The 15,735-nt window shown below is 47.7% G+C and overlaps 3 annotated features.

Moving 5' to 3' along the window:
• Positions 8,885-9,468: an enhancer, noted in NCBI's record as "NANOG hESC enhancer chr1:39212546-39213129 (GRCh37/hg19 assembly coordinates)". NCBI's record gives its function as "activates a minimal SCP1, AML or CMV promoter by ChIP-STARR-seq in primed H9 embryonic stem cells {active_cell/tissue: H9 hESC(primed)}" and the evidence as "EXISTENCE:reporter gene assay evidence [ECO:0000049][PMID:30033119]".
• Positions 11,511-11,805: an enhancer, noted in NCBI's record as "tiled region #12321; HepG2 Activating non-DNase unmatched - State 23:Low". NCBI's record gives its function as "activates a minimal TATA promoter and a strong SV40 promoter by Sharpr-MPRA in HepG2 cells {active_cell/tissue: HepG2}" and the evidence as "EXISTENCE:reporter gene assay evidence [ECO:0000049][PMID:27701403]".
• Positions 14,465-15,139: an enhancer, noted in NCBI's record as "H3K4me1 hESC enhancer chr1:39206875-39207549 (GRCh37/hg19 assembly coordinates)". NCBI's record gives its function as "activates a minimal SCP1, AML or CMV promoter by ChIP-STARR-seq in naive H9 embryonic stem cells {active_cell/tissue: H9 hESC(naive)}" and the evidence as "EXISTENCE:reporter gene assay evidence [ECO:0000049][PMID:30033119]".

The following is a 15,735-nucleotide window of genomic DNA, read 5'->3' as shown; positions in this document are numbered from 1 at the left end:
CGCATCACAAAGTCATCAAAGAAGGATTCAAGTCCAAGGACTTTATTTGCGAGCTGATCCCAGGAAACACTGGTAGGCAAGTAGGGAAGTAGGACAGGGATGGAAAAGAGGCCAAGGGTGGGGCATGGTGGCTCATGCCTGTAATCCCAGCACTTTGGGAGGCTGGGGTGGATCATTTGAGGCCAGGAGTTTGAGACCAGCCTGGCCAACATGGTGAAACCCTGTCTCTACCAAAAATGCAAAAATTAGCTGGCGCGGTGGCACACTCAAGAGGCTGAGGCAGGAGAATCATTTGAACCCGGGAGGTGGAGATTGCAATAAGCTGAGATTGCACCACTGCGCTCCAGCCTGGGTGACAGAGTGAGACTCTGTCTCAAAAGAAAAAAGAGGCTGGGCACTGTGGCTCACACCTGTAATCCCAGCACTTTGGGAGGCCGAGGCAGGAGGATCACCTGAAGTCAGGAGTTCGAGACCAGCCTGGCCAACATGGCAGAAGCCTGTCTCTACTGAAAATACAAAAATTAGTTGGGCGTAGTGGTGCATGCCTGTGATCCCAGCTACTTGGGAGGCTGAGGCAGGGGAATCGCTTGAACCTGGGAAGCGGAGGTTGCTGTGAGCCGAGATTGCACCACTACACTCCAGCCTGGGCGACAGAGTGAGACTCTGTCTAAAAAAAAAAAAAAAAGCCAGGGAAGGGAGGGCACCAGCCAGGTCCACTGTGATCACCTGGAGCTTGATCCTCTGGGGAACTTTGGGGGGACATTCTGATGGAGTCTCAGAGTTACTCGTCCAAGATGGGGTATTGTTTCTTCACCAATTTTCTGTCTGTCATTGGTTGAGGGTTGTTTCCAGCTAGGGAGAGGCTTTTGGGCAGGAAGTCACAGGTGTTCATGATATGCAGCCTTTGGGGGCAGAAGGGAAGGCCATGGGGCAGTGTTCAAAAGATTCTTTCTATTCTGGGGCACCACTCATATGTAGTGTCCTGCCATTCCCTTCTGCTTGTGCTATGGCCACGGTAGTGACAGCGCCTCCTGTTTCCCCTGCCACAAGGAATGGGGAGAGTTCCTTCCATACCCACGCCTGCCGCTCTTCCTTATGTGGTCCTCAGAGTGGGGTGGATCTGGTTTCACTCTCAGGCCTCCTAGAGATTTTAGGGAAAGGGTTGTCTATGCATTCACTTTTCTTTGTCTGGCTTTTCCTTGGATGTAGCTGACTGTGAGAACTAAGCCCGGCATTGCCTGCTGGCTGACACAAGTGTTTGCAGAACCAAATCTCTTTTCTGAGCCAGACCTACTGCCTGTGGGTTGGGGGTGTTCTCTGCTGGGTGGGCTCCAGCCTCTCTCCACACAGGTCCAGCAGGACCACATCTCGGCCTCGCCTTGAGTTCTCAGAGCCCCCAAGAATCTCAGCATATCAGAGCTGGAAGGGACCTGCCAAATCACCCCACCCAACACACTTACTTCACGGTTGAAGTTGAAGCCTGTCTAGAAAGGAAGATTTTTCTGGGGTTGTTTGACCATTTAATGGGATCTGAGATGGTCTGAATCCAAGGTCAATTGATTTCGCATTATGCCATGCTCCGTACCAGGACAAAATGTCTGAGTGGCTGTTCCATTAATATGGATCTAATCACAAGCAGTTTTGGAGAACTTTATGGCTGCCTTTGAGCCTGTTTCAAATCTTTGCAATATGACCAGACCTTTCTTTCCCTCTCCCAGGCAGGTTCATAGATACACCCTTCAAGGCTGTCCCTCCAAATGAGAAGAGCATGAACTATGTGGTTGTACAGCTTGGGTGTGAATTCCAGCTTGGCCACTATGTGACTTTGGAAAAATTACTTAACTTTGTGTGCCTAATTTCCTCATCGGAAAAACAAAGATAATAAAACATACCTCTTGGGGTTGTTGTACGGATTAAATGTGCCTGTGTATACAGAACCCCTAACACAGTCTCTCAGATGTTGTAACTGTTTAACAAGTAGTGATGTGATTATTGTTGATAATGTTGATGGTAAGGCCACTTACCCCACCATGGGTTCAATTTTAGGAAGCTCATCGTTGCTGCATGGCTGAGCCCTGTCTGCAATACCGCTAGTATCAGTAATAAAATGGATACTTTGATCTCTACCTGTCTTGCTCTTTTGTATTTTCTTCAGTTAGTTCAGAGCCTGGATTGGGGAAAAGAAGGTGTATTAGTCTGTTTCATGTTGGTATAAAGAAATACCTGAGACTGGGTAATTTATAAAGAAAAGAGGTTTATTTGACTCATGGTTCTGCAGTCTTTACAAGCATGGCACCAGCATCTTCTCAGCTTCTGGTGAGGCCTCAGGAAGCTTTTACTTGCAGTGGAAGGTGAAGGGGGTGCAGGTGGGTCACATGGCAAGGGAGGGAATGAGAGAGAGAGAGAGAGGAGGAGGTGCCAGGCTCTTTTAAACAACTAGCTCTTGTGTGAATTAATAGAGTGAGAACCCATTCATCACCAATGAGGGATCCGCCCCCATGATCCAAAAGACCCCTACTAGGCTCCACCTCCAACACTGGGGATCACATTTCAACATAAAATTTGGGAGGGACAACTATCCAAACCGTATCAGAAGTATATTTATTGGGTCTGCTCAAATCCCAACAGCGTTCTGTGAGATCATTTTTTGAAAATTTAGAGAGGCAAAAAGAAGAAAATAAAAATTACCTAGTGTTGTGCCACCCAGAAATAACCTTCTTAAGCTGTTTCTGTGTGTCTATATATTTTAAAGCAAAGTTGTATTATGTTGTATGTTTTATTGCTACCCTTTCTTTGAAAGAAGCAATTCATGTCATTAAATATTTTTTCTTAGCATGATTTTTAATGGCAGAATGTTATTCAATTGTATGAGGATCTTATGGTCTATTTGCCCAGTCTCCTGCTGGGGATGTACCAGATCTTTACTGTTTGCCCCTCAAATATACTGTTCACCCTTTTCTACCCTTTCTCGATGTCCAGGGACCCATCAGCTGGCTCCTGTGCCTAACCTAGAGCACTGTGGGTCCCTGGTATGGCAGACAGCAAAGCAGAATGTGTGTTCCCTGTGCTGGCAGATGCTGATGAGGAAGAGAGGGAGAGACGGGGATGCGTGCAGCAGTTCTTCTCCTAAACTCACCTGTCAGGGTGAGGAGGGAAAAAAGCCAGGCAAGAAGACAGGAATATTTAGACAAACTTCCTCATTGTAGATCCAAGAGGAGTGGGAAAGAAAAAAAATATCAGGTAAAAAAGTCAAAATACTGTCATATACCTTATCTTGTTTAATTCTCACAACCAGCCTGTGAGGTAGGTAATGCCATCAATTCCTACTTTACAGGTAAGATCGAAGCTCAGACATGTTACATGATCTACCCATAGTCACACAGCCAGTGGGCGACAACCCCTGGGCTAGAAACTGTGGCTCCTGGCCCCCAGTTCCCCTCTCTGTATCAGTTAGAAAGGCTTTCTAATAACTGAAGTAGGTTGGCAGGGTGTGGTGGGCCGGGCTCTTGGCATTTCTAATACCAGGCTACCTTAGAACCCCAGGTGAGAGGGAAAAGTAATGGTGGTGAGCAGAGCTGCAAATCATGTTCAGAATCTGTGAAGGTGCCCCCAGGTCCACCCAGATTCAAGGGGAGGGAAAATAGTCTTCACCTCTTGAAGTGAAGAGCAGCTCATGTGTAGAGATATGGGAGGAACTGTGGATGGTGTTAGCTAGAGACTATCTACCCTCACCTCTGCCTCAGGTCCAGCTTTATTATGTAACAACCTCCTAACAGTTCTGCTGCTTCCTGTGTCTTCTCTTCAGCCAGAGGCATCATTTAGGGATGCAAATCTGACCATGTAACTATCTTGTTATCCTTCTGTGGCTCCTATTGCCCATAGATAAGTCTAAGATCCTCAGCCTAACATATGTATCTCCTGAAGCACCCTTCAAGCCACATATTTTGTTAATTTCCTCCTGCTTAAGCCTCAGTAAAGTATTGACTATTGCCAAATGTGCCCTGATTGTTCATTCTTCCACGTGAGGGACAGGCTCTTCTCTCAACCTAGAACACGATCTTCTGATTTTATGGTGCATTCCTCTTTATGCGTCAGGGTCCTGCTCAAAGGTCACCTGTACTGCAAAGCTGCAGAAGTCAATTCTTCCTATAGCTTCTAGTACTGTGCAATTCTAGTTAGCCCAGACCACACTAAAGTGCAATGACCAAACTACTGTATTTCGCCACTTCTAAGATTTTTTGCCTGTTCATTTCTCTGAAATTGGGGTGCACTTTTACAAAGTGTGCCATTACCATAATTACTGTTGGATAGGTAACAGGTGACCACAGCCTATGCATGCTGGAAGTGGATTGTTATTTCTGGTGCCTTGACCAGACAACTGCAGCCCCTCAGTGTTTCAGTCGCAAACCAGTTAAGGGCCATTCAAGGAAGGAAGATGAGCCTGGGTTTTTGTCTGAAAGTTTTCTGTTGGTACCCTCTGATGTCAACAGAAGAGCAGGAAAGTCTAGAATCAAAACTTGCAAATGCATGTCAGCAGCTTGGAGGAAAACCCCAAGAGATGGTAATGAAGCCCTTTTTGAAGAAATGTAGCATCACCATGCTCTTGTCACAGAGGACAATGTTAGGTAAAAAAAAAATCCAGCCATAAACCTCTCCGAATATAAAAGTTAATCTGAAGACTTGGATTCAGAATGTGAAGGAGTTTTAGAGCCCTTAAGACATTAATTTTGCTTATCATTTTTTAATGTGAATGCCCAAGAATGATGTGATAAATAAAAAGCCCATGTTTAATTGTGTCAAATAGAGCTTTTTGGATAAGAATAAAATAAAAAACCCATGATAAAAAGCATTGTATCTTAGTTTCATTTGTGGCTTTTTTTTTTTTTTTTTTGAGGCAGGGTCTCACTCTGTTGCCTGGGCTAGAGTACAGTGGCATGATCATGGCTCACTGCAGGCTCCCAGTGAGGCTGGAACTCCCAGGCTCAGGTGATCCTCCTGCCTCAGCCTCCTGAGTAGCTAGGAACACAGGCACATGCCTGTGGAGACAGGGTTTTACCATGTTGCCCAGCCTGGTCTTGAACTCCTGGACTCAAGCGATTTACCTGCCTTGGCCTCCCAAAGTGTTGAGGTTACAGGCGTGAGCCACTTTACCTGGCACATTTTTTATTCAGTAGTACAAAAAATAATAATGTAGCTATTAAATAATAATCAATGCCATCATATTCTAAAGGAAATATAATTATCTGTGCAAGCATCAGAATTCTCTCACCAAACTGAGCTCCCACCCCAGGGAAGGAATCATGCCATTCATCTTTATTGCTTTCAAATTATTCTTATCCAAAAATATTTGTCATGTAAATGAGTTTAATTCCACTTCCAGATAGCAAAAGATGAAAAAGGCAAGGCCCAGAGAGGTGATGCTTCTTGCCTAAGATCACACTGCAGAACTGGAATTTAAACTTGTATCTGTTTGAACTCCAAGATCAGTGCTTTTTCCACAGTACATATCAATTAGGGTGCTTTTGGGTATGAGAAACAGAAGACCCAACTCAAAGAAGTTTAGACAAAATGACAATTTAATGCTCACATAATAAGAAACCTGGAGTTAGGACAATTCCAGGGTCAGTTATTTTCACGATCCAGTGAGCTCATCAGGGACTCAGGTTGTTTCCACTTTTCCTCTCTAACATCCTCTGTATGTCAACTGTTTCCCTCATGGTCACAAGATGGCTGCAGCAGCTCCAGACAGCTCTCTTTAAGATCAAAGATCAAAGATCTTAAAAGATTCCAAAAGTTTCCTAGCAGACTCCCCCTTGGCTCATTGGCTAGAATCACATCCTATGCCCATTCCTAAACAATCATTGGCCAGAGGGGTAGAATGACCTCAATTGGCTTAGACCAATCAAAATACAGTTGTATGAGCTTGTGACCTGCTGATACTGGAACAAAATCGGGAATCTGTAAGTCAAGGAGAAGGGAAATGACATCAGGTAATTAACCCATAGAGAATGCCCAGACTTGTTATGTACCCTAAGAGAGCTTGCATCTTTGAGAAAGAACAGAAAATATCCCCACAGTTAGAGCCCATTACTTACTTCTACACTTTCCTTCTGTGTTCAGGGATCCCTGGTTTGGCCTGGCCAAGGGGACCGAGCTGCCACTCCTTCGTGCGTGCCTCCTGGGTGTGGAGAGAGGAAGCACTTCCCTCTCTGAGGCCCAAACATTTTAGAGTGAAATTTTCATTCTCCCCTTACTCTTCTTGGCAGTCTTGAAAGTCACACTTGTCTCTTACCTTCCTTATCTTCCCAGTTTACACACTTGTCAAGGGAAGATTTTACTTTCCTTCAGTGGCTCAGATATCAGGTGATATGTGAGGCTCAGCTTCTTTAAGAGTGACTGATTGGGGCTTTATGAAAATATATTTTAAAGGTTTCAAGATTAAACTTTTCCTCCTCCATATAATTCTCTTTGGAGATGCAACTTCATGCTTATTTTATTTCACAGCAAACTTGATCTTGCACATGGAAGATCCTTACGGCCAATATATGACCATTTTAGATCTTCCCAGGAAGCACTGTACTGTATTGGTTAAAAGTCCAGCCTCTGAACTCAGACCGGAATGCAAATCCCGTCATTGTCACTTACTAGCTGTGTGAAGATGGACATATTACTTCAGCCCTCTGACTCTCAGATTCCTCAAATGGGGCTAAAGGTGGGCTCTACCTGACAACGTAGTTGTGAGGATTGAATGAGTTGCTGGAAAGTGCCTGGCATGTGGACTGCTCTGTAAATGCCATTCCTCCTTAGGGTTACTGAAGGCAGTTTTCACATTGGCTCAGTAGGGAAAGGGTTGACAGCTCTTACAGGACAAAGACCTCCCCCTTCACTCCTCCTCTCCTTCTTTTCCTTCTTTCTTCGTCAAGTATTTACTGACCTCTCTTGTGAATGAGACATTCATAAGTGTCTTAATTAGGCTTATTTTAAAATAAAATATTCTTAATTCCTAAGTCTTTTAGGCTTCTTTAAAATAAAATATTCCTGATTCTTTGGAGTTAGGAATACAATACAGGGAAGAACAAGACAGACATGGGCTCCGGCCTCTTGGGGTTTACAGTCTAGCAAGGATGATGGATAGATCTACAGATCCATATATAAAGGTCAACAACAAGGGTAATACGGGTTCCACGAGGGAAATGTAGGTGCTGTGCCATGATGAGGTAAAACAGGGAGCTCATCTGGGACCCAGGGAGGGTGGGTGATGGTAAGGGAAGATCTCTTAGGGGTAGTGATGTTTAAGCTGAGTCCTAAAGGATTACCTAAGTTATTCGAGTTGGGAAGGGTGTTCTGGGAAGAAGGAACAGCATGTGCAAAGTTCCAGAGATGAAAGAGTGGGACATGCTTAGACCAACTGGAAGAAATCCAATATGGCAGCATGAGAGAGGCGGGAGACTCAATCATGGAGGACGTTGGGTCATATGAAGGAGTTCAATTATATTTTTAAATGATGAGGAACGTTAAAGGGTTTTAAGCAGGCAGATGAGCAGATATGTATTCATTCAACACAACTTATTCTGGTTGCCTCATGGAGAATAGATGAAGCGAGTGGTGATAGGAGGAAGGGAGAGAAGCTAGATGGCTGTTGCAGTGGTTCCAGTGAGAAATGATAGGCATGTGGCCTAGGATTGGGGCAGCTGAAATGCCACCTGAGTTCAGGTGGATTATGGTGAGACTGGTCTGCTAACTGTGGAACTGGAATTAGAGATCACTTTTGAAGCATTCTCTCCTTGGCCTGCAGTTTGCAGGTCCGGCTGAATTGTTGGGCCTAGAAACCCTCATTGGATTCTGGGACCCATTCACTGCATTAGGGTCCCCCAGGTCTTCCTGTAGAGTGAAGGGTTAATGTGACTTCTCAGAGGCCATATTTACCATTAAGGTTGAACTAAGTGGACATGGTGCCAATTGGTAATTCCAGAGTGTGTTTCTTTGTAAGTGTTCTGCTGACTGTGTGCAGAGACAGCTCAGCCACCTTGAGCCTTATTTCCCTCATCTGGAAAGTGGGAGTCATAACACTTCCATGACATAGGCGTACCATGAGAATGGCATGAGGTAGTGCCTGCAATGGACTGGCCCAGTGCTTGGTACCCAGCAGGGGCTATGATAATTTTTGCTGTTACAATGGTGGATGCTGTAGCCCAATATGTGTGTGTCTGTACTGGGGGGACTAGAATGACACCCCTTCCTTTAATAACTATATTGTAAACAAATTGTGTTCTGGGAGCCTGTGATGGTCAAAGGATAGACTCCAACCCATAGCACCTAGGGGATATGGAGCTGGTTAGTGGGAGTCCATCGACCAGGAGTTGGAGTCCTGGGTTCCAGTCTCAGATCTGCCCCCACACCATCATGTGACGTAGAGTAAAGCCTTTCCCTGTCTGGCTTCAGTTCTCCCATCTGAATCGTGGCACTGATAACTGCGGCTCAAGCAGAGGGGAGGTGGAAGCAGAAATGGAAGGCTGCTTTCTTCCGCAGAGGCTGGGAAAGCCAGGAAGCCTCAGGCTGTTCCATGGCACCTCCACCTCAGTCCTTGTGGTGGCTGCTATGTTTTCTGGGTCATCTTGGGGAGGGGTCTCGTCTGCTCCCACCTTCTGCCCCTCCCATCCTGAAGTCTTCACCTAAGAGAAAACTGCATTCTTGTCAATGACTGGGGAAAACAGCGCAGATTATTTTGGGGGTGTTTGGTCTAACTCTGCCCATGGATCATAAACAATTTTTCCTAATTTAGTCAGATGATTTCCTCAAGAAAGTTTGTGTTTATACAAATGAATACGTTCGCATAATCTATTCCATTGTGGTCTCCCCAGCCTCTCTGCACCTGCCCCACCCGCACCCACCCCTCTCCACCTCCGAGAAGCCAGACAGCTTCCGGGCTAATTTGATCAAGATGAGTAAAAGCAAAACCATCCGTTTTTCTTCGACAGCTGAGTCCAGAATCATTGTTGTAAAAGACCTGTCTTCCAGGTGAGCCGGTGATATTAGGGAGTTGTCGCTCTTTGCTGAGATGAAAGGGCTCAGCCTGCTACAGAATGCCTCCGCGCCAGCATCAAGCTTCCAGTGAATCACATCAAAGGCCTCTCTGCCACGGCCAGCCCCTTCCAGCTGGGGGAAAATGGGCTCATTAGAAGCAGGAAGAGTACATTGTTTACATTAGGTGGTGCTGATTTACAAGCTTGGAGCTGCCATTTTTCCCTCACCTTGAGCTCCGGGCTCTGGAGAGCCCTCCACTTGCGGGGAATGGCTCCTTTGAAGGTGCACGGCAGCCTCCTGAAAAGGAGCCACACGATGCCCCCACCCTCCCTGCTCTCCTTCCTCTAATTAGGCTCTTACCAACTGAGCAATATCTGGGGTTGGGTAGAGACTAGCAGGGGGACTATCGGCAAAGGCCTCTTGCATAATTGCATTGATTAAGAGGTACAAGGCTGGAAATGTTGTTTTCCTTCAAGATCAAGTCCCTGCGCTTGTGGGAGCCTTGATTTTCTGGGCCACTTTGTTTGCGTTGGCCTAATTGCTCAGGAAGCATTTTTCAGAGTTTTCAGCCTAGATGGTTTGGTGTAATTCTGCAGCCCAATCCCCAGGGCTCCCAGACAGGGGGCAGGAGGAGGCCCGAGGTCTGGTTGTCTATCCTGGGGTGTTTCAGTGTGGGACAACTTTGGTGCCCAGCTGGGGTTTGTCTGGAGGGCTCTGTCAGGCAGGACAGCTTTAGGGCGGGATGAAGAAAATGGTTCTTATTCTCCTGGGTTCTGGGCTTCCCTCCAAAAGCCATGGCTCTTTGGGGCCCTAGAGAAAACTCAGAGAAAGTAAGAACTCTGGCTCAAATAATATTTAGAGATTTAAAAAAAATATCATTCGACTTATGGCAGTTGATACTCACCCAGTATCTACACACACTCTTATGTTTCCCAGTATCTCTTGTGGTTGGGTTGGGGTAACATTACTAGTTCAGGCCAATAGACTTTGAGAGGAGCCAAATATTCAAGACAGAGGGGGCCAGCCTGACTCACATCTGACTTTTTCTAAGAAGTAAACCTTTATTGTGTTAAGCCTCTGAGATTTCATGGTTTAGTTTTTCCTGCAGCCTAGTGTAGCCTGTCCTGACTAATTCATGGCCCCAGTGAATGTCATCAGCACTAGGAAAATGACTATGTTAGATTTGCACTCAGAGACACTCTGGGCAAAGCTAATGTCAGACAGAGAAACTTTCTTCCTCAACTTACTGTTTTCATCTGCACCTTGGAGATATCAGTTCTGGATCAACACGTGGTTGTGTCTGGAGCCATTGGGACAGTCTGCCAGCTTGGGTCATGTGCCCATGCCTTGGCCAATCACTCTGAGTCCAGTACCATTGGGGTATTTTGATTGGCCAACTTGGGCTGGGGAGGTAGGGCCATATGATCGACAGTCCCCACCAGTGGGGATGGATTTGCTTTGGAAAAGAAAAGGTTCTAAGAAGCTGAAAATGCCTATTACAACTGCTGTTCCTTGGGCCAATGTGAGCCAGCAGGCTAGAATGGCTCAGATACCTCGAGAAGACCTTACTGCCAAGTCCCAGGAAGGCTGTCTGTCTGGCCAGGTAAGAAAGTGTGTGTATGCAGTGGGGAGGATCATGACCTAAGTGACTCACCCTATCTGCTTGTGACTAGAGGTGTGGGAGGAATGTTTGCTTTAATGGTTGCACGGTTTGGAAGTGAGAGGCAGCGACCCTGGAATTGAAGGCATGTCCACAGTGGTCATGGGTGCTGGGAACCGGAAAGGGTACGAGGCATTGCCTGTCGCTTTTGAATACAGTTGTCCTGACAAGCGTCACCCCAGGAGAGGGGCCTCACGACCTCCCATCTACTCAGGACTTCTTCATTCTCCTCTTTCTCTCTTGCCTGACTTCTGTTCACATTGTGATCCTTTGAAAAATGGTGGGAGGGCTGTGCATGGTGGCTCACACCTGTAATCCCAGAACTGTAGGAGGCCAAGGCAGGTGGATCACCTGAGGTCATGAGTTCAAGACCAGCCTGGCCAACATGGTGAAACCCTATCTCTACTAAAAATATAAAAAACTAGCTGGGCGTGGTGGCGGCCGCCTGTAATCCCAGCTACCTGAGAGGCTGAGGCAGGAGAATCTCTTGGACTCAGGAGGCAGACGTTGCAGTGAGCCGAGATTGCGCCACTGGACTCCAGCCTGGGCAACAAGAGTGAAACTCCGTCTAAAAACAAGAAAAAAAAATGGTGGGAGCATCAGCCCCACCATTTGAGTGTCCTGACCTCATAGCTCCATGCCCCAGGGTGAACCACCACAGGCTCATGTCAAGATCACAGGAGAAGATAATCTCATTGGCCCAGCTGGGGTCAGGTGTCCAACAGTGGCCAGTCAGCTATGGATGTGGTGCAGGACACATGGCCCTTCTGGGCTATGAGTGTGGCCATTTCTTGAAAAGGGGGCTCTGGGGGAAGGAGCCATTTATTGCCATCACTTGTATGGACCCAAATATAGGCCTCTGGGCTCTGTCTTAGTCAGTTTGGGCTGCTATAACAAAATACCACAGACAGATAATTTACAAACCACAGGAATTTATTCCTCACAGTTCAGGAGGCTGGGAAGTCCAAGATAAAGGTGCTGGTAGATTTGGTGTCCGGGGGAGGGCTGGCTCTTTCTGCTTCCAAGATGGCGCCTTGTTACTGAATCCTCTGGAGTGGAGAGACACTATGTCCACACATGGCCTGAGGGTGGAAGATGGAAGGGTGGAAGGGCCTAGTTCCCTCCAGCCCTTTTGGAAGAGCATTATTTCCATTCACCTCTGCCCTCATGACCTCGAAAGTCAGCACATTCTAAAGGCCCCACCTCCGGAGAACATGTTCAGGCCATAGTGGACTTCAAATCCTGGGCTTCAAAAATGGAGTGAGAGAGGAAAGACCTGGGTTCGGAAAGCTGGAGAGCAAGAGTGGCAGGCTTCCAGATCCAGCCGGGCCCCACGACAGGACACGCGGCAGCTTTTCGGAGTCCACTGCAGCCTTTGTGACCCTCTCGTGGGTCACCGCTGGACTTTCAGTGCAGGAGCGTTCCTGAAGTAATGTCCTGTGTTAGTCTATTCTTGTGCTGCTAGAGTGAAATACCTGAGACTGGGTAATTTATAAAGAAGAGAGGTTTAATTGGCTTATGGTTCTGCAGGCTGTACAGAAAGCACAGTGGCATCTGCTTCCGATGATTGTAAGCCTCAAGGAACTTCCAGTCATGATGGAAGGTGAAGGGGAGCAGGCAGGTCACATGGCAAGAGCAGGCACAAGAAAGAGACAGGGGAGGCTCCGGGCTTTTTAAGCAACCAGCTAACAGAGAGAGAGAACTCACTTATTACCATGGGGAGGGCACCAAGCCCTTCATGAGGGATCTAGCCCTGTGATCCAAACCTCCCACCAGGCTCCACCTCCAACCTTGGGGATTCCATTTCAACATGAGATATGGACGGGAAGCAGAAACTGTGTCATGTCCCTCTCGTCCCAGGGTATTACCGAGCAGCCAGAGTTGAACACTTTTCTTAACTCAGCATAGCGTTGGACAACAGTTACTCTGTCCAAAGTCTCAGGATAATCCTCCAGAGACTGGGGGTCGCTGTCGTTGGCCGCATATTCTTTCCTTACCTTGCAAGCGTTGTAGTAATTGATGGGGAAGATGAAGCCCTAAGCTAGTGAGCCTGGAAACCCCTAGGCATTGCCTCTAGTTCACTGTGTGACCTCAACAAGCCCAGTTCTCTCTCTGAGCCTCAGTTTTCTCAGCTATACAAAAATGGGTCAAATGGCATCATCTCTGGGGTGATGTCTGGTGTCTCTGATGATGGGAGGGCAGTGTGGTGTAGTGGTCAAGCATGCTCATTTGAAGTCAGACAGCTCTGGGATTACTGAATCTCATCTTCCCACTTATTAGCTGTGTGATCTTGAGAAAGTTACTTGACATCTCTGAGTTGCAGATTCCTCATCCATAAAATGAGAATAATAGAGGATAACAGTGATGTCTACTTCAGAGATTTAAAAAAAAATTCACTGAAATGATGCGTGTAAACCATTTAAGCTGTAGCTGATGAATAGCAAATGCTCCACAAATTTAGCTACCAAAAAATGCCTATCATTTTAAAGGCTTTTTCCCAGGAGTCTATTCTACATTTTGGGATTATGTTTTAACAGTGATGTACTTTGGAGGGTGAGACTTAGATTTGCGTAGAGAGCTGGGAGAATGGGAGGATGGCAGTGGAGAAATCCATTGTGTTCTTCTAACTCAACTGGGCTCAAGGATGACTTGTGGGGATTGCACGTGGGCAAAGGCATAGCTAGTGATGAGGCAACTAGGGCCAGGCTGAGTACCTAGGGTGGACCCAAAGCCCTGGGTCCAAAGTGTGGCACGTTTGACAGGACACTGGCCCTTGTGGTCCTGAAAGGGCCCAGTGGATTGGCTGGCAGGCAGGCAGGTGATGGGGGCCCTTGGGACTCCCATAGGTGACTGTTGGTCTTGGAAGTTCTATCTAAATGTGACTGTGCTGAGGCCCATGGGCAAGACTGCCTCTCCTAGGCAGGAGGCAAGCAGGAATGATTTAAGCCGGGGACAGGCCCAGGCCCACAGGATGTAATCACAGTGCCAGGGGCAGGAAACTCTAGAGTCCCCGGTCAGGGAAGAGTCAGGTTTGTGAGGCCTGAGAGCCGGGCCAGCCTGGCTGGGCTCCATGGGTCCCGGGGCCTGCTCCTGGAACTCTTAGTGGCAGTGGAGCCCAGTGATGATAGCTGAGACCAGGGCTGGGGGCTTCAGCTTCATTCCAGCTCCTAGAGGGGTTGGGGCTGCCCTGAAACACCCATCCCAGCCAGGACTGCCACAGTGCCTGGGAGCAAGATGGGGATGATGTGGAAGTGGGAGCCCCAGTGGGCCCATCTGTGAGGCAGAGGGAGAGGAAATGAACGGGACCCTGACAGCTGCAGAAGAACTTAAAGTGACAGTTTCCATCAAAGACAGGGCTTGTGTGAGGGCTGTCAGAGTTAGCAATGAAAAGTTACACCAGGGCAGGGGCACCGGGGGAAGAATGGTCAAGCCACATCATTGTGGCCCCTCCCAGACCACCAGGTGCTCTCAACAACACTAACTTTCAACCATTTAACATTTACTATGAGCCTTTATTATGCCAAGAAAGTACTTTGTGTGTGTGTGTGTGATACCACTTAACCCTGGCATTGACTCTGTAACAGAGGGAGAGGATTACTATCCCTTCTTTTTTTTTTTTTTTTTGAGACAGAGTCTCATTCTGTAGCCCAGGCTGGAGTGCAGTGGTGGGATCTTGGCTCACTGCATTCTCTGCCTCCAGGGTTCCAGCAATTCTCCTGCCTCGGCCTCCTGAGTAGCTGAGGATACAGGTGCCTGCCACCATGCCCGGCTAATTTTTGTATTTTTAGTAGAGACAGGGTTTCACCATGTTGGCCAGGCTGGTCTTGAACTCATGACCTCAGGTGATCCACCCGCCTCCGCCTCCCAAAGTGCTGGGATTACAGGCATGGGCCTCTGCGCCCGGCCTACTATTTCTTCTTTTGTGTGTTTGAAGAGATAGGCTCTGAGAGGTCAAGTCACTCACCGAAGATCAGACAGTAAGTGGTGGAGCCAGGATTTGAAACCAAGTCTGGTCGCTCCAAAGCACAGGCCCTTGCCGCCTGCTGTCTGTGCAGCCTCCCTGGCCCCGCCTGCGTGGCTCTTGCCCTTGCTCACAGCTCTGCAATCATGCTGCTTTCCTTTCCACTCCCTGATTGTCTGCAGGGCTTTTCCAGCCCAGGGCCTAGACGCATGCCATTCCTTAGGCTTGCAACACTCGATTCTTCCCCATTCCGCAGGCTCTGGCCTAATGTCACTTCCCAGAGTCTTGCAGACTCCTAATCTGAATGGGGCCTGCTGGCTGTGACTTCTCAGAACATCCTCTCTTTCCCTCGGAGCTGTTATCACATATGTTTGTTAGCGGTGATTTGCATCGAGTCAGTCTCCCCCCTGGCATTCTGTGAGGTCTGGGAGGGCAGGGACAGAGGGGTTTTATTCATAGCTGTATTCAGTGCTTAGGACAGGAGGCACCACATGTGTTTACCCATTTGTCCCTGGCACCTGTGGTTCTGTCCTTGCTGGCTCTGGGGTCCTCTTTGTGGCCTTTGTGTCTTAGCTTCTTGCCCACAGCTTGGGCTCTGGAGGTTGGTCTTGTGCTGACAGGTAGATCGGGTAGTCGCCCTACATCCCCAGGCCTCTTTGTCTCTGCCAGAGGAGGGTAGGGCAGGCCCCTGACTTGCTCAGACAGCTGGCCTTTTCCCTGGACCCCCTCACGGGGGGCCTGGAGGGGAGACCTGGGGCTTGACACATGTTTAGGAGGTTCGCCATCTCCTTTGGCCAGCAAAGACCTCTTGTGAGATTTGGGGACAAAGATGCCTTGGCCAGGTGTGAGAAATGGTGTGTTGACATTTTGCACCACGAAGGTCTCTGCCGGGCTCAGGCAGGAGATGCTAATGTTATTAAGTCAGTTTCTAAACTGGACAACATTCTTGACATTTCAGCCGAGATGCCTGAGCATGCAAAGCTTCTCCTCTCCTGTTGTGCGTCTCCAAACAGTAACTCTAGCAATATGACTTGACTTAAAAGCCCCGGGCAGTTTGCTCATAATTCTAATAACCATCCAGAATTAGATC

The sequence above is a fragment of the Homo sapiens genome, chromosome 1 (genome assembly GCF_000001405.40).
Source record: "Homo sapiens chromosome 1, GRCh38.p14 Primary Assembly".
NCBI lineage: Eukaryota > Metazoa > Chordata > Mammalia > Primates > Hominidae > Homo > Homo sapiens.
Note: the sequence above shows the minus strand (reverse complement) of the source record. Positions and strands in the feature narration are given on the sequence as shown.